General features: G+C 34.8%; 1 long non-coding RNA gene across 6 annotated transcripts in view; it reads right to left on the bottom strand.

Moving 5' to 3' along the window:
• Positions 1 to 21,115, bottom strand: part of LOC105369468 (uncharacterized) — a 383,452-nt gene extending 362,337 nt beyond the window's left edge. Inside the window, exons 1-2 of one of the 6 annotated variants that reach the window (XR_007062870.1) lie at positions 20,771 to 21,115; positions 11,350 to 11,445 (exon numbers count right to left, since the gene is read on the bottom strand). This is a non-coding gene — a long non-coding RNA (uncharacterized LOC105369468). Of the gene's footprint in view, positions 1 to 11,349; positions 11,446 to 20,766 lie in introns of all 6 variants that reach the window. The other 5 variants (XR_947973.2, XR_001748356.1, XR_001748357.1 and 2 more) reach the window with 5 other exon arrangements.
• Between the last annotated feature and the right edge of the window lie 4,321 nt (positions 21,116 to 25,436).

Below are 25,436 nucleotides of genomic sequence, written 5' to 3' on the forward strand. Positions count from 1 at the left end.
CAAGAGACAGTTCTGAGATGGTAATATCGATTTGAATGTCAGTGGTATGTAAATTGTTAAGTCATAGATTGGACGAACTCATAGAATAAGTGTTGATAGGTCTCTCTTTGGATAAACATTCTTCTGTGAAAATATTTAATTTAAATATATGTATATATAGTTAAGTAGTCAATAATATGCTTCCAGAAATTTTCCTTCCAGATCACTTCCTCTCATGTAGAAGAAACACATGATCCATGAGAGCATGTGGAGATTTGGAAGGAGGATGCTTAGGATACATGTAAAAGACACTGAAAGTATCCAGACTGAAGAAAGTCAACAAATAAAAATAAACTGTGCTTACTAGGCAATTCTGTCTAATTCAGAATTCTGTCTAATTCTGTCTTCCCTAATTGATGGAGCAAAAAAATAAAATAAAAATTAAATTTCTGACAGCATTCCATACTAGAAGCTGAAGTATGCTCAAATTTGTACCTCAGTCATTGCTTAATTTGCCTTTGGAAAAATAGCTCCATCACGTAAACAAACCTCTTAGTTTCTTCAAATGCTACAATCCCTTGAGAAAGACACTGGTAGCAGGTAAACCTGCAATAGGAGAGCCACTCTGAAACAGGAATGAACAGACTTAGATGTCTATTTTTACCCCACCACAAAAATGCCCAACCAGAATGCTTAGCAAGTGCCACAGACAACTGTGCTAAGTGCTCTGTCTGCGTCATTTCATTTAATTCCTCCCAACAATCCCTTGAGGTGGCTTTGTAATCACAGGTGAGAAAATTAAATTTTAGAGTAATTAAGAAACTTGTCCAGTGTCATTCGTAGAGCTAGAGAATGTCAGAGTCAGAATCCAAATGCAAGTCAGATAGTTCTAAAGCACGCTCTCTTATCTGTCTGTTATGTTGCAACTAGACAGTCACAGGTCCTTCCACTTTAAATTCTAATATATTCATTGAATCTGCACAGTCTTTCCTGATTACTGGAGTAAATAGTACTTACTCTATGCCCTTTTTATTTTTATTTTTTAGTTAACATCACACACATCCTACTTTTCTTGTTCCTAGTTCTGTTTTCCTCTATGAGCTGCCAGAATAATCCTATCCGTGGCTCCCTTTTCCTTGCAAGATTAAAAGCATAGTCTTTAATATGCTATTAAAATTCTGTTTTATATCTCCAGCCTCACATATCATAAGCCCTTCCTACCTTGCACCTTGTGTTCCAGCCACACCAACTGAAATGCACATCCCAGAATATGCCCTAAGCATGTGACCACTCTGCCATGAATACTACCCTCTCCACTCCAACACGCATACACATCACCCTTGAATAATTCCTATTCAGAATTAAAACAGTGCAATAATATTCTCCTCATAATGCCTTCCCTCTACAAATAAGACACATTTACTGAGCTACTCTATGCCACACACTATTCTAAGCACCCTGAAAACTTTGGTAGAGAATATGTCTGTTCTCAAGAAACTACAATGTATCTTGGATACAACCACATAAACAAAATTTATATATAATTTTCAAAATAATACTGCAGCCTGGAAAATTTTAAGAATACACTCAATAATCCTCTCTGCTCTCAAGCCTTTCTTATCATATCATATTAAAATTTTCTGCTAATGAATCTAACATGATATTTATTGTTACAAATTGCAAGAGTCTTTTCTAATACTCTGTTAAGATCACATTAGAAAACTATTTTAAAATATAAAGGTACGCATTTATTACTCAAATTGTATTTCCTTTTATGAAAGAATATTCTTAAACTATATGAAGAAAATAAAAGAGCAAATATAAAAATAAATGCAATAATATAATGGATATAACTATAGTCGGAAAGATATTTATTAAATTTGAAAACTTAGTCTCTATAAAACCAAATGTTATTATTATTATTATATGTAAGTTAGGTTCTTGGCTAGTGTTTAAATCACTCTCAAGTATTAATCCAGATCTATTCAGTGTAATTAACTCTTTCACATCAAAATCGTCTATAAATGGCAAAAAATGAAAATGTAGGAAAGCAGTAAACCTTTCAAGTTTATAAATTGCTTAATCTTTCACAGTTGTATTTTTGTAGGGAAATAAACTCTAAAGATTAGTCATTAAAATTCTTTAGCTGTAGCTACTTTATTATATCAAATTGGCAATGTGTTTTGCTTATATTTGGACATATATCTTTTATAGGAGGTATAATTATTAGTATGTTATTTATTTTCACATTTCTATAGTCATAAACTGTATGCTATATATATGCATATTCTAAATTTTCACATATCTATAACTTATGTCAGTATTCTCCATTTATCACATTTTATATGCATTTCACATATTTAAATTTAATATTAGAAAAAGCTATAGCTCAGAAAAATTTGAAAACTTTCCCAAGACTTCAGAGCTAACAACTTAGCAGAGCTAGGATCCTGTCCTCAGGTTTATATGTTACCATATGATTCTTTGATCCTAATGAGAAGCATGAAAAGTTAAAAGAATTTACCAAGAATTAACGATTTACTTAATGTTGCAACCATAATCAGAAACTAGTTTATTAAAATAGTTAATATTCTATCCTATTTTTAATATTAATACATTGAGAAAAAGTTAACCCGCTTGTCAGTATTCTGTTTTCTACTACATAGCTCATAAAGCTATCATAGAACCGCCTCTCATAAAGAAAAATTAAGATGCTGGAGAAGATATGACACTGGAAAAATAATAATACAGATTCAGATAATACAAAGTTAAGGTAAATCCCAAGCGCCAGAATAAAGCAGAAATAAGAGCCATCTCAGTAAACATGGACTAATGTCAAGGTTGGTATCAGACTTGAAGATCAAAGAATAGAGCCTGATGTTTTAACAGCCACACAGGAAAAAATACATGTGACTTTGGGCTTGGTCAAGTACAGAATCAGAACTGCATCAAGCTAGGGCCTCAAGAGGCTGTGTAGTCATGAAAAGAGCCAAGAGTATTTTTAAAAGTAACTTTTCCGGGGCTTCTGGTGCAGAAAATTCAATCTTCTGTGAGGAATTATAACTCCAAACAAACCCATGTATACCAATGTATATCAGACTCCCAAGGTAAGGAATTTGACCTAAAAATTGGTCTAGGACCAATGAACCACTGCAAAGCCCTAGCAGAAAAAAATTCCAATTATTGTGTTAGACCACTTCGACAGCATAGATACATAAAATCCCTGAATAATAAAAATCAACTATCTCCAAAGAGGAGCTTTCTATAGACATTCTTAAACAATGTGGAAACCAGTATGAGAGAAAGGCATACAATACAACCAACAAGAGAATCGTGATATCGAGAAGCAAAAACAACAGACTTATCTGGAAGAAACTATGGAAAAAATATGTGAAAAATGTTGTCAGAGATGGAAGGGAAAACATGGTGAGTAAAAATCAACACTAGGGCAAGGCGAGGTGGCTCACGCCTGTAACCTCAGCACTTTGGGAGGCCAAGGCAGGTGGATCACTTGAGGTCAGGAGTTAAAGACCAGCCTGGCCAACATGATGAAATCCTGTCTCTACTAAAAATACAAAAAAAAAAAAAAATTAGCTGGGCATGGTGGTGGGCACCTGTAGTCCCAGCTACTTGGGAGGCTGGAGCAGGACAGTCACTTGAACCCAGGAGGTGGAGGTTGCAGTGAGCTGAGATCACACCACTGCACTCCAGCGTGGACAACAGAGCAAGACTCTGACTCAAAAAAAAAAAAAAAATCGACCCTAGAAGAAAAAAGGTCATCTAATTTGAATAAGTTACAAATAGAACCGTTTAAATATTAAAATAAATGCAACAATTTAAAGCAGATTCTCCATTAATGAATTGAACAGCTGATAAGTAACGACCTAAAGGAAACCTGGATAATTATAAGACACATCTCAGGAAAGTGCCTAAAAGGTAGAGAAAAGAGATTAAAAGATCCATCAGATGAAAGAACGAGAGGTTCTAACATGTGTCTAATGAGAGTTTCAGTGAGATAAAGAGTACAGGGAAAGAAATACTTGGAAAGACATTGGTGGTCGTCAGATTCTATACCTGGAATGGCTTCTGATTACAGCAATATGGATTAGCATAACTTGGATTAATGAGTACCACTGAAGAAAGCTAACACAGCAGGACAAAACACATTAAAAAATTATCTCAAAGGCAGAGTACTAGTAAAATAGTAAATTAGGTCAAGGGAGAAGTTCTGAAATTCTGAGAATAAACCCTGCATTTAGAAATTCTTTCCCTGGGGGTATTTGGCACAGACTAAGCAGAACTTTTGACATGCTCTCAGGACTTGGGAACAATGGCTGCAGTCTAGATACTGGCAGGGACAGAGCACAAACCACTTCTCTTATGAAGGACAGCATGCTGGAGACAGCGGACGCTAAATATAAGCCAGATATTTCCCAGCTATGGGAAAATAAGTTTCTGACTGTCCCAGAAATTCTCACTCTGATTTTAGCTTAAGGTGGTTCTAGATTGCCAGTACCATAAAGTGACAATATAAGAGAAATAAAATCCTTTCTGGAAAAAGGAAAGCTTTATCCTAGTATGCAAACTGTTACTACAAACACTTTTTCAAATATAATTTCCAATCCAGTTTTAAAGATAAAGATTGAAGGAGATAAGGCAATTGGCATAGAAACCAGCAGAAATGATACAGATAAAGAAGAGACCTTCTCCATATTGTTCAGGCTGGTCGTAAACTCCTGGGCTCAAGTGATCCTCCTGCCTTGGCATCCTAAAGTGTTGGGATTACAGGTATGAGCGACCATGCACGGGGTACCTGTATTGTTTCATTTTTAAAAAATGATGTATCTGAAGTAAATGTAACAGATCAGCTTGTGAATACATGGATATTTTATGATACTACTCTCTATACATTTCTATACTTTAGCATTTTATAATTTTTTAAAGAAGAATTTAATGTTTCAGAAAAAAAGTATAAATATATTCAAAAGATGGAAAAAGTCTTTTCCGTCTTATGTTTATCTGTATCTAAGGTGATATTACATGCAGAAATTTTTACTTTGGATAATTTGTTAGTATTTCAGTTTCATTGATTATCTTTTTGAAACAGCTAAAAGATAATTATATCATCAAAATAACGGAAAACATAGAAACAGCTTCTCTATAGCACTGTTTTACTTCCATAAATATGGTTGAATAATTCTTGATTCAAATTTCTTTTTATAAAATTACATTAAATGTACTATGGCATCTCTATAAGTTTTATACAATGAAAAAATATTGCATGCTTTGTATTCCTTCATTACAAAAATTGAACTGCAATTTAAATATGAATTTCAATTTAGAGCATTAGTAATTAACTGATTTTATTCTGTTTTGTAATTCTTTCATTCATTAATCACTGTGAGAGCTGAAGAACATTACAACCCTGTAGGAAATAAAAAGACAAGGGTGTCACTTAAGGTTAGTCATAGAGCATGGCTTGCATTTTAATCTAGCATTGGTTTTATGGAGATTTAAAACTTTTCAATCAAAAATACTTCTAAATGTCACCAGTTTTAGGGGAAGCATTTAGTCATTTCATGAATTAATTTTCTGGGCTTTACTGCTATGCTTTATTTACCACAATCTAAAATCAATACTATGGACACAGGGTATGGTTTTGTGTCAGACATGCACAGTCCTGAGGGCCCTGGTTTAAAAAGGATGATGTAGGTATCATTTTCTTTCTTCTAGCATTTCCCTAACAGATATGCAACACTTAACGGTCAAATGCTTATGGCATGTCTTGCTTCAAGTTGGAGAAATCCTATTTTTTCCCATCCTGTGCAATGTACTCATATGTAGTCACAAGACTGTTGGTGACTAAGACACCCAAAACTAGCAGCTATATTTGCTTCTTAGCACTGTAACCGTCCCAGCCCTGGTATTTGATTTAAGCCATTATACAGATTACAATTTGGGAAAGAAGCAATAAAATGATATAAATTCTAATAAATGTTAAAATTTCAATTTTTAAATATAATTAAAATTATGGAAATGAAATCTTTCATGAATGAGATCATCCACAATCTCTACATCTTTTATCCATAAATTCAAGTGAGAGGACAAGAACAGGAATAAGCACATTTGGAGGGCTTATTTTGTCGTGTGTGGACAATTCAATGGTCAGCTTCTGTGTTCACTTTCCTCTGCCTGTGGTTAAATTGTGTTACACAGCCTGAGGTGTTGGAGAAGGGGGTGTTATACCTTCAGGTCATTTACACTTACAGGTATCTGTGGAAATGTTTGTCCTCCCGTCTGGGCTTAGACATTCACAGATTGTAGCTGCAATGTCCCTTAATTCCATAAGTGTCCTTAAGACTTGGGAGAACCTTCATATATTTTTCCCTCACCCTAGAGTTTTGAGACCAATTCTGGTGCTTATTCTCTTTCTCTGGACAATGAACATATCTGTGATACCATTTGCTGTCCTCATCTGCTAGATACCCCATACAGACAGTCCCTATATCCAGAAAATAGACCAAAAACTCCCATATATTAATATAATCTATATAATTGTATATAATATAAAATAGACTAAACCTCCATAAGTTATTAATATAATATATAATTATATATAAATATTAATATAATATATAATTATACATATAATCATTAATATAATTTATAGGAGTTTTTGGTCTATTTTCTGGAAATAGGGACTGTCTATATGGGGCAATCTAGCAGGAAAAAATGTAAATCAGGAAAAAATTGAATAAATGTCTTGAAAATGTACTTCAAAAGAGAATATTCAAATGAAGCATGTGAAGATATGTTCAATATTTAGTTATCAGAAAAATGCAAGTTAAAATCACAATGAGACACCATTACATATTTAGTGCCATTTCTTTAAAAAATGAAAAAGTTATTACATATGTAAAGCATCTAGCCTTTTTTTTGTTGTTGTTGCTGTTAAACATTAGCCCTTTTTTTTTTTTTACTTTTATCTTGAGCTTCAGGGCACATGTGCAGATTTGTTATATGGGTAAATTGCATGTTGTGGGGATGTGGTGTACAGATTATTTTGTAACCCCGGCAATAAACATAGTACCCAACAGGTAGTAATAAGCATATTACCCAATAGGTATTAATAAGCATATTACCCAATAGGTAGTTTTTGGATCCTCACCTTCCTCCCAATTTCCCCCTCTTGTGGGCCCTGGTGTCTATATTCTCTTCTTTTTGTCCACATGTACTAGATAATTAGCTTCCACTTATAAGTGAGAACATGCAGTATTTGGTTTTCTGTTCCTGTGTTAGTTCACTTAGGATAATGGCCTCCAATTCTCTCCATGTTGCTGCAAAGGATGTGATCTCATTATTTTTTATGGCTGTGTAGTATTCAATGGTGCATATGTTTCTTTATGCAGTCTAGCACTGATGGGCAGTTAGGTAGATTCCATGTCTTCACTATTGTGAACAGTGCTGCAATGAACATATGTGTGCAAGTGTCTTTATGGTAGAATGACTTATATTCCACTGGATATATATCCAGTAATGAGATTGCTACATTGAATGGTAATTGTATCTTAAGTTCTTTCAGAAATCTCCAAACTGCTTTCCACAATGGCTGAACTAATTTATATTCCCACCAGTAGTGTTATGTTTTCTTTTCTCTGCAGCCTCACCAGCATCTGTTATTTTTTTACTTTTTAATAATAGCCATTCCGACTGCTGTGAGATGGTATCTCATGGATTTTATTTGCATTTATTTCTCTAATGATTAGTGATGTTGACCTTTTTTTCCTATGATTGTTAGCCACCTAAATGTCTTTTTTTGAACAGTGTCTGTTCATGTCCTTTACCCACTTTGTAAGGGGATTGGTTGTTTTTTGCTTATAAATTTGTTTAAGTTGCTTAAAGGTGCTGAACATTAGACCTCTGTAGGATACATAGTTTGTAAGTATTTTCTCCCATTACGTAGGTTGTCTGTTTACTTGGTCGATATTTTGCTGAACAGAAGCTCTTTAGTTTAATTAGGACCCATTTGTCAATTTTTCGTTGTAATTGCTTTTGACATCTTCATCATAAAATCTTTGACCAGTCATATGTCCAAAATGGTATTTCCTAGGTTATCTTCAGGGTTTTTATAGTTTTAGATTTTACATTTCAGTCTTTAATCCACCTTGTGTTGATTTTTGTATACTGTGTAAGGAAGGGGCCAAGTTTCAATCTTCTGCAAATGACTAGCCAGTTATCCCAGCACTATTTATTGAACAGGGAGTTCTTTCCCCATTGCTTGTTTTTGTAAACTTTGTCGAAGATCAGATGGTTGAAGGTATGTGGCATTATTTCTGGGCTCTCTATTCTGCTCCACTGGTCTATGTGTCTGTTTCTGTACTAGTACCATACTGTTTTGGTTACTGTAGTCTTGTAGTGTAGTCTGAAGCCAGGTGATGCCTATAGCTTTGTTCTTTTTGCTTAGGATTGCATTGGTTATTTGAGCTTTTATCTTATTTTTGTTTCATATAAACTTTAGAATAGTTTTTTTTCAAATTATAAAGAGAATGTCATTGTAGTTTGATAGGAATAGCATTGACTCTGTAAACTGCTTTGGGCAGTATGGCCATTTTAATGATATTGAATCTTCCTCTCCACGAGCATGGAATGTTTTTCCATTTGTTTGCATCATCTCTGGTTTCTCTGAACAGTGTTGTTTTTAATTCTTATTGTAGAAATCTTTCACTTCCTTGATTATCTGTATTTCTAGGTATTTTATTATTTTTGTGGCAATTATGAATGGGATCACATTCCTGATTTGGCTCTCAGCTTGGATGTTGTTGGTGTATAGGAATGCTATGGATTTTTGTTCATTGATTTTGTATCCTGTAACTTTGCTGAAGTTGTTTATCAGATCAAGGAACTTTTGAGCAGAGAATATGGTGTTTTCTACATATAGAATCATACGGTCTACAAACATAGATAGTTTGACTTTCTGTCTTCCTATTTGACTGCCTTTTATTTCTTTCTCTTGCCTGATCACTCTAGCTAGGACTTCCAGTACTATGTTGATCAAGAATGATGAGAGAGGGCATTCCTGTATTATTCCAGTTTTCAAGGTTAATGCTTTTGCTCATTCAGTATGATGTTGGCTGTGGGTTCCTCATAGATGGCTCTTACTATTTTAAAGTGTGTTCCTTCAATGCCTAGTGCGTTGAGGGTTTTTAATATGAAGACGTGTTTAACTTTATCAAAAGATTTTTCTGCATCCATTGAAATAATCATGTGGTTTTGTTTTTAGTTCCCCTTATGTGATGAATCACATTTATTGGTTTTAATATGTTGAAGCAACCTAGCCTCCCTGAGATAAAGCCTACTTGATCATGATGAATTAGCTTTTTGATGTGCTGCTGAATTCAATTTGCTAGTATTTTGTTGAGGATTTTTGCATCTGTGTTCATCATGGACATTGGCAAATATCCGTATGATCTTTGACAAAGCTGGCAAAACAAGCAATGAGGAAAGGACTCCCTATTCAATAAATGGTACTGGGATAACTGGCAAGCCATATGCAGAAGATTGAAACTGGAACCCTTCCTTATACCACATATTCAAGATGGATTAAAGACTTAAATGTAAAACCTAAAACTATAAAAACTCTGGAAGATAACCAAGGCCTCTCTTTTATAGGTGAAAATACAAGTTAGTATTACCACTCTTGAACTTTTGCACAATATGAATTATGTACAAATATATGCATAAACCATAACCCTGTAATTTTTATTTCTTTATCTATTCAAGTATCTACCCATCCAAGCACATGTATAAAAATGATAAGGTCTGTATTATCCATAATACCTTAAATTTCCATCATGAGAATAATGGATAAATAACTGTTGCGCAGTCATGAAATGAAATGCTACAGACTAATGATCTTCAAAGTGTGGTCCCTGGGCCAGCAGCATCAGTACTACCTGAGAACCTGTTAGAATTGCAAATTGATGGGCCCACTCCAGATCTACTGGTTTGGAGATTCTGGTTTGGAGAGTCTGGAGGGGGGTCCTCTAGATTTCTCTGTTTAGCAAAACTTCCAGATAATTCTGATGCATAATTAGGTGGACACGCACTGCTTTCTATGCAAAAAAATGAATATATATAAAAAAATCTGCTCTCCGCCATACCATGAATAAATTTGTGGTTAGATTCTAAGAGGAAGTATAAGAGAGATTCTGGCGTAATTTTCTATTTGGATGCTAGTTACAAGTTTACTCTGACCAAAATTCATAAATATATTCACATATAATTTGCCCATTTTGTATTTGTATCGTACTGAAATAATGTAAAAACATAGTGTACTCCAATCAAACTCAGCTGCTTTGATATTGCATGCTCAATAATGGGTGTTTATTTTCTCTCTTAAATTGGGTATTATACTCTGCAGGCAGGATAAAATGTATTTGTTTCAAGAAAAAAGACTATTTACTTTAAGAAAATGTATCCAGTCAACCTATTATATTTTGAGTGCATGTTTGTGTATATGCTATGCTTTAATGAAAACTTTACTGAAAAATTAAGTAAATATTTTTCCTTGGCAATCATCCATGTCAATATTGTTCATCAGATGGTACTGATGTTTTTATTTGTTGATTACTGCCATGTGGTAGGCATTTCACATACCACTTTACTAAATCCTGCTACCAAATAAATGGTATTCCTATTTTGGAGACAAAAAGTGCTGAGGCCTGGGGAAACTGTATAATGTCCTCAGAATAGTAAGTGGAAAAATTCAAGATTGGAAACTCAAGTCTGTCTAACTCCAAGTTCATGATCTTTCTACAGTATCATGTGGCCATATAACAGACGCAGAGACTGGTATTTTCCCAGTAGGTGCACAAAATAATTACTAAATCTATCCAGGATAAGATGGTAGAAGAGGCAAATGAGGTTGATGCTGCTGGGAATATCATACATTCTCCAGAAACTAGCCCATATTTATAGATTATCATGTTTAGAAGGCATCTTCAATATCATGAATTAAAATATATTCCCTTTGAAATCAATTCCATAGACTAGGAACTCAGTTTTTCACAAACTATCTCTTTTCATTACAATTTTCTTTATTAGATAATATTTTCTTGTATTGAGGCCAAACACTGTACAAATACATCACAAATTAGTACATATACAAAAGGAAGCTTGTGCAGAACATAAATTTGTACAAATATTATAAAAATACAGTGTGCTTTATACCAATGGTCCCAATTCTGCCTATTTTAGACATATAGGGAAACATAGTTCCATAAAACAGAATATCAAATATTTAAAGTAAACCACTATTTTGTTCTTTGAGTCTACTTTCTCCTTGTTTCTTCCAACTGTTTTTAATATTACCTGATTTCTGAGTCACTTCATCATCCTGATCTTTCCCCTCTGACTGGTTCAATTTGTTCATGTGTCCTTTCAAGAATGGTTTTACTTAGGTGTTTTCTAAAAAGGAAAGTAGAACAGGAACACTTCATTTATCTTGTTCCAAACCTCAAGTTCCTATCATTACACCGCAGAGTTCCAAGAACTAGAAGCAAAGGAATTACCCTTTTTTGTTTAAAATGTTCTTGGGTTTGGATCAGGTCCTTGTGAGAGCTTAGGCTGAGGCAATATTTTCACAATTTTTATTATAAAGTATAAAAATTTATCATCCTTAGTTGCCCAAAGCAGCTGTTATCATAATCAAAGGAATAACCCAAGATAATTTATCTTAGAGTCCTATAAACAGAATGTCTGGCAACTAATGTGCATATACTTTGAAACTGTGTGAACTAGACACATGGTTTTTCCCTGTTTAAGCCTTAACTTCTTTACTAATGGAAATGGGTTGTATGAATTAAGTGAAATAAAATCAGGAAAGTAATAGAATTCAATACATATTAGATCCATTTCCCCTTTCCATAGCTCCCTAAAAGACACAAAAATGCAGGGCTAGTTTATTCAAATGGCACACCTCAACATCACCATCACACACATAGCCATAATCATCATCACCATCATTACTATCATCAAAATTATTTGTTGCCTGTTCACTGTGTGTCAGACATTTTATCAGGCCTTTGCATGATTTATCTCATTTCATTTAATTCTTAAATTAATCTAATGTGGCAGTTATATTTATTAAACCCATTTGACATATGAGAAAACTAAAGCACAGAAGGCTTACTAACATGTCATGCTAAATGATGTCATGCAATTCGATCGTACAGGTTCTAAAGATCCACATTCCTAAAAGAAAGCTCTAAATCTAAATCTTCATTGTATATACATTGGAGTATACATGCTTACCTCATTCAAAGAGTTATTGAACACTCACTAAGGGGCAAGCACATATATATTTAAATAAATATAGATAAGATACAATTTATTCTTCCATGGAGCTCACATCCTAGAGGTGACAGTGATATTGATGCAATTAAACCAAAAAGACAAAGGGAAATTATAATATGCTGTGATATGTTCTGTATAACAGTGGAAAGCTCTTAAAAGTTAACAGTGATAAAGGATCAGGAGGCAAAATCTTTCTAAGAAACAGAAACAGCAAATGCAAATACTCAGCATCTAGCAAAATAATTTTCTTATTTTAGGCAACTTTTAATTAGTTTGGTGTAGCAAGAATATGGAATGAAAAAAGGCTCCTCATGTGATGAGGCTGAAAGCTGATTGGGGTCAAATCTAGACATAATGCTTATGAGTTTTGGAATTTATCCTTCAAATGATGTAGAACTTCTGAAGGATTTTTATCATGGAAATAATGGGAACAGTTTGGGGTGTTATAATATCTTTCAGGCAGTGTGGCAGAAATTGATGAGAAGAGAGAGTGGGATGGACTGGGAAATCTGGTATTAGAGAGGTGACTTTGAAATCTGCGGAGTTGCTATAAATAAAAAAATAATAGGTGCTGAAGCACTGAAGGTGGAAAATAGAGGAGACAGGTATAAGACATTAACAAGAATGAAATAATAAGACCATCGTGGTTAACAAATGGATGTGGGTGTCTGGTTGTGGTGATAAGGAGGTGAAAAAATAGAAATAAACAAGGATGAGATAAAATGCATCTCCCATGACATGCCCATAATCTTGTTTTCACTTTAAATGTAATACCCTGGAGATATTAGCAGCCCTTTCCTTATTTTCCCCTACCTCTGCTTTACTTCTATCAAGGATTAAACCCTACTCTCTCAGTCAGAGTTTTAATGTTTCTCCTATTTCCAGAATACAGCAAACTAGAGAAAAGAACTAAAGCCTGGCCAACATGGTGAAATCCCATCTCTCCAAAAATACAAAAATTAGCTGAGCATGATGGCAGGTGCCTGCAATCCCAGCTACTCAAGAGGCTGAGGTGGGAGAATCACTTGAACCCGGGAGGTGGAAGTTGCAGTGAGCCGAGATTAAGCCATTGCACTCCAGCCTGGGCGACAGAGCGAGACTCCATCTCAAAAAAAAAAAAAAAAAAAAAAAAAAAGAACTAAAGTAACTTTAAACTCAGTAAGACTTAGATTTAAGTGACTTTCCCACATATATAGAATGCAAGTAGAATGACACTTTCAAGTCTACTACAGACAAACGGTTTTTCCTGGGTCAACCCCCTACCCCCTATCAGACCAACCAGTGATACCCCAGGCCTCAGGACTCAGCCCTGAGTTTCAGGGCTTTTAATCTGCTTCCCTCTAACCTGGAGCAAAGCCATTGCTCACCAACGACTGCTAGGTCATGCTTTTCATATTGATGCTCTTATTCAGATAATGAGGTCTCTATGCCTAAGATTAGCTTATGTTCACACATTATGCCATAATTCTTATTGTTTAGCTTTGGTTTGGGATCCTTTTACACATGCTTTTTCTTGTAACTTCCTTAGTATTTCACACCTATCCTAAGACAATGACAATTTTGCCAGGTCTTAGGAAATAAAACACTGCCAGAAATTCTCATCCCGGGGCAGGGAGCTATTTACTTATTTTTCAAATTTTGCCAAAAAACAATCTTTCTGAAATTCTGAATATCTTCTGATTGCCTTCTCACAAATCATTACAGTCCTTTTGGAGCATCTTGATACCTTTTGGCTTCCTGATATTGATCATATACCTGAGAAATTAATTTGGGATTAGAATACTCCAACTTGGGTTGGCTGTCTATTGTCAGCCAAGCCTAATTTACTTATTCTGTCCTACACTAATCTAGCAATATGCCCCAATCTTTATCTGTTTCATCTTTTTATTACCCAGCAGTCATGCCCTGCTGATATTCACTTTGAGATGTCATAGGCATTATCTATACATTTTTTTTTCTCTGGGACAGACTATTAGACATATAGGATGACCCTGAATCATGAAGAGATACACAGAGTAATTCTGAGCATATTGCAGATTAAGCAAATATGGTAAGAGTCAATAATAGCATCCACATGGCTTGCTATTTTGCATTTATCTTAACAGAGACTAATTTTGTAAACAGCTGCAGTAAAGTGTTTGTTTGTAAAATAGTTTAAATTTCTCTAAATTTGAATTTCATTATCCTATGATCTTAAAAATAAAATTCAATATTTCATCTCTTCCAAAGCATATCTATTGATTAATCCAAAAATACGTTAGAGGGTGGAGCAAGAACATGGAGACATGGGAAGTCTCATACATTTGCTAGTTGGAAGGAATTTAAAATGATACAGCTGTGTTGGAAAACAGTTTGGTAGTTCCTCAAAAAGTTTAACAAGAGTTACCGTAAGGTACAGCAATTCTACTCCTAAAAAATATATGTTTACACAAAACTTTGTGTATAAATGTTCGTAGAATTATCTATGACAGCCAAAAAGTGGAAACAACCTAAATGTCTATCAACTGGCAAATGGTAAATAAAATGTGGCATATCCATAAAGTGGGACATTATTCATGCCTGAATAGGAAGAAGCACTGATATGTACTACAACATGGATTAACCTTGAAAACATCGCACTAAGTCAAAGAGGCCACATATTATATGATTCAATTTATAGAAAATATTCAGAAGAGGCGTATTCACAGAGATAGAACACAGATTAATGTTTGCCTAGGGAGGATGGTGAGGGAAAAGATGACTGACTGCTAATGGGCACAATGTTTCTTTTGGGATTGATAAAAATGTTCTGGAATAAAATAGTGGTTATGTTTAACAACCTTGTAAATATACTGAAGCCACTGAATTTTGTACTTTAAAGGTTAAATTTTATAGTATGTGAATTTTATCTCAAAAGAAAAAACAGAATAGGTCCAGGATGCAATATAATAAATAAAATATTTGGAAATGTCATAAAAAAATCACTGGATTAGAGAATGTTAAAATTAGATATAAATTGAGCCTTATAGCCTTAAATCAAAGTGTGCTAGATTTTTATGATATTATTTTTTCCTTTATGATCATGTTATTTTTCTGAAACCTAAAATTAGTTGCAACTTCCTAGAGATTTTCAAGGATTTCTAGACTCTTTCTTCTGACATATAATTTAAAATTTTAAAGACAAATATGGTTCTATTTGTTCCTACTATATTTCATCTTACTGAATTTAAGCTATTGCTTCAATCTACAAAAGGAAAATTATCTAAATTCTTCAATTCTCAAAGCTGAAAAAATGTACAATAATATAATCCAATCCCCCCTTTTTTCAGGGATAGAGAGAATAAGGCCTGTGTATATTAACTGAGCTACTTCCCACCAGTATACAGTTAGTGGCTCCATTGAGTTTATGCTATAGGAAATTTTCCATTAACTCATATTGATTTGTTATTCTGTCCTTTAGAGAATAGAGATCTTTCCTATATTTTTCAATGTTAACATTTGATAAGCATATGTCTTAATCCGTTTTTATTGTTGCTTATAACAGAATATCTGAAACTGAATAATTTATTTTAAAACGAAATTTATTTTGTACAATTACGGAGACTGAGAAGTCCAAGGTCAAGAAGCTGCCTCTGATGGGAGCCTTCTTGCTGAAGGGGACTCTACAGTGTCCAGAGGCTACACAGAATATCATGTGCTGTGGGAGCTAATGTGCCAGCTCAGGTCTCTTTTTCTCTTTTTATAAAGCCTTCAGCTCCACTCCCATAATAATGCTTTAACCTATTAACCGTTTAATCCATTAATCTACGAGTGGATTAATCCATTCATGAGGGCAAAACCCTGATGATCCAATCACCTCTTAAAGGCCCCACGTTTCAATACTGCCACCTTTCCATATCTTTCTACATTTAGGGATTAAGTTTCAACATGAATTTTGGAGGAAACATTCAAACCATAGCAGCATGTATTACATACATTATACTCTTATTCTAGTTTTTAATTAAATATGATGATTAAGCTGAATATACCAGTGGGGCTGAGATACATGCTCTGATCCCTGTCCATGTCTCTGATCTCCTCCCCTGACACTCTCCCTCTTAATTATTTTTCTCCAGCCATACACTGGACTTCTTGTTTATCTTCTAAGACCTAAGCATTTTCTGCCTTAGAGACTTTATATTTAATATTCCCTCCATCTGGGAAATGCTTTGCATAGAACTGCGTGTGGTGTGTTACATCACATCATTCATATACCTACTCAGAGAACTTTGCTGACCATACTAACTCTCAATTACTCGCCATCCCAAACCCAACTCCCTTCCTTTCCATTCCCTCACAATATTTTTCTTCAGAGATCTCATTATTACCTAAAGGTTTTTTTTTTTACTTTTTTTTTCTATATTGCCTTTGTCTCTCACTAGAACATGTGTCACTAAGAGAAGCTGAAGGACTTTGTCTCTTTACCTCTATATCTCCAGCACTTAGAATAGTGCCTGACCCCTTTTAGCCCTCACTACATAAGTGTTGAATAAAAGAATTAGTCATTTTTATTTTATAATAGAAGGTTAAAGCCTGAGATTTTGTTTTTAATATTCTGTCCAATAATGATTATTTTGCGTTTACATTTTGTTAGTTGTTTCCACCCTGCAGGGACAAGAAGAAAGGAAAGTAGGATATAAGATCCATGAGGTTTCTGATGGTTGAACTTCAAATTTACTAACATCAGCATTGGTTACTAAGAGCCACTGTGGAATCTCTATCTGCGTAGGTGTTCATGCAAAAATCAGAAGTATATGTGTATGCTTCTTAGTTGCTGGTTAGAAGATATTTTCAAAATCCTGTGATGTGCTATTAATCTGGTATATGTATTTTGACTCTTTCCAATAAATTAATGTGACTATGGCAATGAAGCTATTAGACACAAAAATACTGCTTGATAACTTCAAGTACGAGTAATCCAAAATATACCTTATTAAAGCATTATATTATTCTCAGAGTTTTCCATAATGCATAGATGTCAAAATGCTAATTAGAGCTACTGTTTTCTCATTGTTTACTTGTCACAGCTAAGGTAATTTCACTGTTTATATGAGAGCAGCAGGCTGTACAATCTTTCTGTCAATTGTTTTTACAATTAGTGACAAATTGTTTTTTTTTTTTGGTTGGAATTAATTTGTTCCCAAGTCTGTTCCAACTGGACATGTTTATGTAAATATACTGGCACCAATTATGTATCAAAAAGAGATTGCTTTGCCCCGCAGTCTTCGCCCTGAAATATTCCTTCAACTGAAGTCCTGAACTAAACCTCAGTATTAACCATACATTGTGACTTGAATTGATTGAGGAATATCAGGTATCCCTCTTCCAAGAAAATTACCACAACAATTCACTGATACTGACAATTCTTAAAAATAATGCTTTCCAGGTGATCTTTTAAAAATGCAACATTTCCTAAAATAGCTTATAGTTTGGTATAAATTAACAGCCCATAGATTATTTTTCTGAAATGAGAGATTCAGATTGTATGAATCATTGGATACCTGTAGGAAAGATTGTCACCGTGAATTTAGAAATGGAAACCACAATACTGCTGTATCAATTTGCTAGGACTAATATAACAAAGTATCACAAACTCATGGCTTAACCAACAGAAATTTATTTTTTCACAGTGCTAGAGGTTAGAAATCCAAAATCATGGTGGTGGCAGTGTTAGTTTGTCCTGCAGACTTTAGGAAAAGGATGAATTCAAGGCCTCTCTCTTTGGCTTGTAGATGGCTGTCTTCCCTGAGTCTCATCACATAATCTTCTCTCTCTGTGTGTCTGTCTCCAAGTTTCCCCTTTATATAGACACCAGATAACAATCATATTGGATTAGGGGCCTATCATGCTGCCATATGACTTAACTAACTATATCTGCAAGAACCTATCTCCAAATAAAGTCACTGTCTCTATTCACATTAAGTGGAATTTTACATATCAAAATGAATTCCTTGATTTTCATGGTTATTGTGAAATAACCATGAATGCATAATATTTTGAGTAACTGATAAAACTTGAATTCTAGTAGGCATATTGGCAAGCCAAAAGACATTAGAAGGGTGTTATGTGCTGAGAAATGCATGCCAAGTCAAGTGACTGTTCAGCATATAACAATGCTGTTCCCTGCTGCCAAACAAGTGTCTAACATATGTGCTGACCGAGATTGCTGCCTGGTACGATGTTGCTAGAAAGATACAGTGTCAGAGCGTAGTGTGAGAGTGTGTTTTGCTTCTCAAACACATGCTGTGGAAAGGAGAATTATTGAACTTTAAGAGCCAATTGTTGGGTGAAATAATTGCTGGGAAACCAGAACTGTTGAAAGAACAGCAGTTCATTAAGGCAAACATCTCAGAGGCCAAGAAAGCATCTATGCAGTGGGGGAGAACTTATGTAGCCAGATAGTAGTATCTGTATGTGAGAATCATTTTGTGTCTTTCAAATAAATGAGAACCCCAGTGTTCCACGAGGAAGACATAGCTATTAACCATCACCCACTGTGCCTGACTCAAGGGGGCCAGCTCCTTCCGTAGGCTGATTATTTTTCTGGCTGGGTCAAAAACAGTGTATATGAATTACCAGGATTCTTCATCTTTACATTTGCATTAGCCCTAGAAAATAAGTAGCGCCCTAAAAATGGAGAAATAGTTTCGATGTAAAATCCTTCGTGGATTCTGATTGGCCCTGCATGATTTCTCTGTTGTCTACCTCACCCATTTTAGCTTGTCCCCATCTTTCTCTTCACTGGGCTCTATTTATTACTTCAAATTTCCCATGGTCTTTGCATTCTCCAGTCTTCACATAGCCTAGTGTCCTTGCCTAGAATGCTCTTCCTCCCCAATTTTTATTAAATTAACTTCTTTTCATTATTTAGACCTGAGTCTACTTAGCAGCTCCTTCAGAAAGCTTTCCCTAAACTTCAAACTAGGTAAATGATTTGTGTCACATGTTCCCATAGTTTCACTATACTCCTACAGTTATTTGTTGATCTGGAATCTTTTGTCCAACTCTCTCAGCTGTATGAGAACATAGAGTGTACCTGTCATGTTTAACACCATGTGTCAAGCAGCCAGCCCACTGTCTATTGAGATTATAGTGATTATGCTATCAGAGAACTTTGCATTAAAAAAATCCCTGAAATACATCATTATTTATGTAAAATTAATGAAATCAAATCGCCACTTTAAAGGCACTGCAGCTAAAACTCTCTAAAGAGTAAATGTAAAAGTACTTAGAGAAACTACCTTATAATAATGGCCCATTGATTTATAAATACTGTTTGTATATAAATTATAAGTATTATTAGAATACAAACATCTCTTTTCTCTTTGAGCGAAATGACATTGCATTTTTCCCCTTTATAGCCCCAGAGCATAGTTCAATGTTTTTCATAGACTAAAAATTACAATAAATTAAGTGAAACAAAAATTATTTGAAAACACTAATCGCTTTATTAAGTAGACAAAGGTGAACTTAAAAATAGATTGAATAAGCCAGATGCAGTGGCTCATACCTATAATCCCAACAATTTGGGAGGCCAGGCAGGGGGTGGATTCCTTGAGCCCAAGAATTTGAGATCAGACTGAGCAACATGATGAGACTCTGGCTCCACCAAAATAATTAAGAAAAAAACATTAGCAGGACATGGTGGTGCACACCTGTGGTCCCAGCTACTTTGGGTTGATCACTTGAGCCTGAGAGGTTGAGCTGTGATTGCAACACTGCACTCCAGTCTGGGTGACAGGCTGTCACCAAAAAAAAAAGGTTGAATAAATTTAATAATTATATTAATTTAAAGAGTTATCAGAAAACACAAAGCTATGAATATACCTCTCTTTTCTCCCCATTAGCAATCAATGATACCTACATTAAAACTAGTTTAAGATTTTGGGTTCTGTTAAATCATTTTAAATAGAGAAAAATATATCAATAATGGTAATAAATATAAACTTGCCAGTTAAACAACAGAGATTCTTAGATTTAAAAAATAAAAACTAACAATATTAACAAAATACAAACCTTCAATATAAACACATGGAAAGATTAAAAAGAAAATTATAGAGGAAAATGATACTATACAGAAATACTAATCAAACACTGACTTGCATAGGAATATTAATATTACATATTTCAATTTTTAAATAAAATCGATATTGGAAAGAAAGTTATTAGATTATAAAAACATTTAACTTACTGTAAAGCTATAACAATTCTAAATATCTCCAAATAATAAAATGGGTTCATATGATATAAAGCAAACATTAATACAAATTAAATTGGAAAATTGACACATCTACCATTGGAATGAGAGACTTCAATAAATCTCTCTCCTAAATATTGATAAGTACAATACAGAAAATTAGGAAAGTTATAGAAAATTTGGGGCAATATAATTAAGCTTAATATAAATGGACATACATACAACTTTGCGTCAGTTAGAGAATGCCTGTTCTCTCAAACACACTGGAGCAGTTTCAAGATTAATCATGGATTAGGTCTCAAATTCTGGGATGCAAGGACGACTCTAGAGTCCACCCTGTGAAACAAGGACCAGCCCAGTCCTCATGCATTAGGAGGTTCAGCCTGGCTTACTTGCGTAAAAATTTCCAAGTTTCTCCCTTTTGCTCTACGTGTGTTCTTACAAGTTACATTTTTCAGAAAATAAAAATTTTCAGACTGGTCTGGCTGTGTCTGTTTCTTGGAACTAAAAGAGCTTCGTTAAAATTGAACTTGGTATCGCCCAGAACAGAAGAGTTACGGCACTGAGATTCTGAGAATGAGTGTTGATTATGATGAAGAAGGCTGTGTGACTCCCAGAAGGTCAGGCATTGGGCTACTTGGTAATCACTGCCGTAGAGAAATGTTTAAGAAAAGTGGTAGGGAGGAGAGTGAGCGGTAGATAATTCCTTGATTTAGGAAGCCTGCCTTCCTAGCCACTCTCCCCTTTAGGCGCTTTGTTTCAGCCACATTGGTGGTGTTTCAATTCCTTGAGCATGGTTTTTACCAGCTTTCAAACTTTGAAATAAAGTTTCACATTTGAAATTGTTCTTGGAATGTTCTTACTCCTTCCTCCCGCCAACTTCCTCCCTGAGGCCCCAGCTCAGATGTTACTTTCTGTGAAAAAACTCCTCGAGAGTTCTACCTAAATGTTTCCCTACTTATTCATTCTTTATTTCGTTCACAGTATCTATCACTGATGCATTTATATGATCTTTGTTAACCTATATTTTATACATAGTTTATATTTGTTTATTCCACTAGAGAATAAATGTTTTGAAATTAGAAACTATGTGATTTGTTCACCAGTACATATTCAGTACTTAAAATAGTGCATGGTACAATTTAAGGGTAAAGAGAATTTTCCCTCCTACTCTGAGGACTGAAGCCTGGTGAAATAAGCTGACAATGGATGGTTTAATAGAAGAAAAGACATACAAATGCATTAATGTGCGTAAGCAGAAGAGCAATACAGAAGATGAGACTCAAAGAAGGCCCAGATGAATGAAACTTAAGTAGAACCCTCTTCATGGGGGAAGGGAGATTGGAGAATGTAAGCCGTTTTTGAGAAGTATTAAATTATTTTTAAAAGAGATGAATGGGCCCAAAGAGCAGACAATAGTTTGTAAATTATTCTCTTTGGACTGAATGGGACCTGCAAGTCATAGGAAAGATGAGGGGTGGAACTGCACTGTGAACAAAGGTCTTATTATGAAGATAAACTCTCCCAGATAATCTCTTGGGGCTGGTCTTAGAATAGATGAAAAGTCTACCTGGATATGGTGAGGACTTTTAGTTTTTTGTCTTCTCTGGAGGTTAATATTTCCTGGTTATTTAATGAGATTCTTAGGGGTGGGTGGGAATTTTATTTCAAAAGTGTTCAGCATTATGGTATTATCTTATGAGCCCCAACAATATAATAGATGTAAAGAAGTAAAGGCTGATTGACAGCTCTCAATCCATTAGTAACTGAAGAAGTTAAAAGGATTAACTAAAAGGATTAATTAAATTGATCCAGGTTCTAGTCTGACTCTCATCCCTGTAAGTTATGACCATGAACAGGCTGTTTAACTTCTCCAAGTCATAGACTCTGTATCTCTAAATTACGGCTGGGGGTGGATGTGGATATCTTCTTCATAGTCGAATCAAATAAAACAGAATCAAATAAAAAGAGAAATTCTCAATACATTTCAAATATCTAGTACACAAGATAAAATATTAATGTTAGTTCAGCCCACTCCACATATCCCCACCTCTACCCCTCCTGCCGTAAGAGATAGGATACAGAGTTATTTCATGATCAATTCCAGTTAGAAAAGTATAGGAATGCCATCTTTGGTTAAATATAAGGAAGATAGGTCTAATGTTTACTGCTATCTACCAGGAGATAAGACTACTTCAAGAGAAGCATGGATTAGATCCCTCCTTGCCTCTGGCCATGTTTAGAAAATGGATGACTACAAAAAGGAAATTCTTTCTTTGTAAAGCAGATGATACTGGACAACCACAAAGGTGATTTCTAATTTGAAGATTGTATTAGTCTAATCTTTACTAATAAGAGCTGTATTTTTATCCTTTTTATCATTTTTTTTGTCCTTCTTCTGGTTTTATTGTTTTGAACTTTGATTCTTTGATGTATTGAGCTTTATAACTAAATGCACTACAATTAAGCCTTAAAGTAAACTAGAAATATGCTTTAATTGGATTTACTACAGGCCAGAGTTTGCTATAATAAGGCAATTGTATCCTGGATTCCAGGCAATAACATTTAGATTCTGAATTGCCAAAAGGAGCTTGGCTTAATGTACTTTATCTTGTAAGGCAGTATTCCAGCATGAGTTGTCATCTCCGTTGACATCAGGATCTTAGAGACATCCATTGCTAATAAGCACATTAATTAGTAATTATGTAATATCATAATTAGCCAGCATATCAATTAAATCCTTAATAATGAATAGTGTACTATATAAGATCATGAACAATTTTATAAATACTCAAATATAATTTCTCAATGTGAATTTCAATATATAATTTTGGGGTGAAATAAGGGTTTGCACTGGTAAGAGTATCATGTCACCACACACAAGAAAAACGTCTGAATTTACAACTATCACTGTGATATTTGATATTTTGTGGTATTTAAAGTTAAATTCTTGACTCTACTGCATGAAAAGATTTATGAAGGATAAACGGTGAGGATCCAAATTTTTCAAAGTTTGCTCCAGAGACAATACTATCACCAGCATCATAATTACACAGGGTCCTTAATGAAAATTTAGGCATTTCAACTCTTCCTAAGAGCTATTGGCTAGAAATGTTTTGGATTGCCTAAGAACCTGTCTTTTTACCAATGCCCTAGATGAATTCTGCAAACATCACAGTTTTGAAACTCATTGTACTAAAATATAGCTGAAGATAATATATGAGAACATAAGCAAATTGACTGTACTTAAAATGCTGACTCAGGTGAGTAGATTTTTAAAGTAATGTAAAGAACTAAAATACTTTTATGGGTGATTCTCATCTTATAATATTATTTTGAAGGTGCGTAATCCTGTGGCAGAAGCAAAACAGTTTCGTCCGGGCAGAAGGCACTGTAGAGGGGAAGAAACTATTACCTGAGGGACTAAATAAAAATTAATTAATATATGGATATTGAAAATACAGATAAGCTGCAAAGTAAAGTTTGCTAATACTGAGAGCCATCAAGTTCAAATTGGAATTTAGGTTTTATGGAATATTTAGCATGTGGTGATTAAAAATGTAGGTGCAGAGGAAAAGCTTCCCATTCACTCTCTTTTTTTGATTGTTTGTTTGTTTGTTTTTGTTTTTTGAGACAGGGTCTCACCCCATTGCCCAGGCTAGAATGGATTGTCACAGTCATGGATCACTGCAGCTTCGACCTCCTGGGTTCAGGTGATTCTCCCACCTCAGCCTCCTGAGTAGCTGGAAGTATAATAACATATCTTCATGCCTGGCTATTTTTTTCAAACTCCTGTGCTCAAGTGACCCACCTGCCTCAGCCTCCCAAAGTGCTGGGATTATAGGTGTGAGCCACCAGGTCCAGCCCCATTAACCCTTTCTGAAGGTTCACTAGAATGACTGACAATAGACAGATGAATAGGAGAAAAAGTCATATAAATGTATTTACATATATATGGACATGGAGTCCTGCAAATATGATACTCAAACCAAGGCCAGATGGTTGAGGCTTAAATCCCCTCTTCCATCTTAGAGTGAAATGGGGGTCTGTCAGTAATTTTAGGGGTAGTAAATAATTTTCAGATAAAATGAATAAGCCCAAAGAAGAATGGCCAGAAACAAAGTTCTTCTGCACCCTGGGGCAGGTGGTGGGAAGGTGAGGGGTAGACTTCACTGTGAAGAAAGTTTGTGTTTTCATGCAAATAAAGACTCCCAGATAATCAGAATTGCCCTTAGAAGAATAGATGAAAAGTCTGTTTGCAGTTGCTGACAGTTTTTAATTTATTTTCTGTAGTAGTTCATCTTTCCTACTTATTTCATGAGATTCCTATGATGGGGGTCTCCAGACAATTACATTTATTTTACAAACAAGGCGTGTTCGTCAGATAAAAAAAAAAATCCAGGCTGGGCATGGTAGCTTATGCCTGTAATCTAGCACTTTGGAAGGCCGAGAAGGGAGGATCACTTGTGCCTCGGAGTTTGAGACCATCCTGGGCAACATAGTGAGATCCTGTCTCTACAAAAAAAAAAAAAAGCCAGTCATGGTAGCATGCACCTGTAGTTCCAGGTACTTAAGAGGCTGATGCAGGAGGATCACTTGAGCCTGGTAGGTCAAGGCTGCCATGAGCTGTGATTACACCATTGCAGTCCAGCCTGAGTGGCAGAGGAAGACCTTGTCTCAAAAAAAAATTATATAAATTATATATGTGTATGTGGAGATATATATATGTGTGTGTATATATATGTATGTATGTGTATATATATACATATATACACATACATACATACACACAGACACACACATATATATATATATATCCAGAGATATATATATCCAGAGAGCATTCCTTCCTGCTCTTGGGTGGGAAAGAAAAAATAAAAGTTTAGAA

The sequence above is a fragment of the Homo sapiens genome, chromosome 11 (genome assembly GCF_000001405.40).
Source record: "Homo sapiens chromosome 11, GRCh38.p14 Primary Assembly".
NCBI lineage: Eukaryota > Metazoa > Chordata > Mammalia > Primates > Hominidae > Homo > Homo sapiens.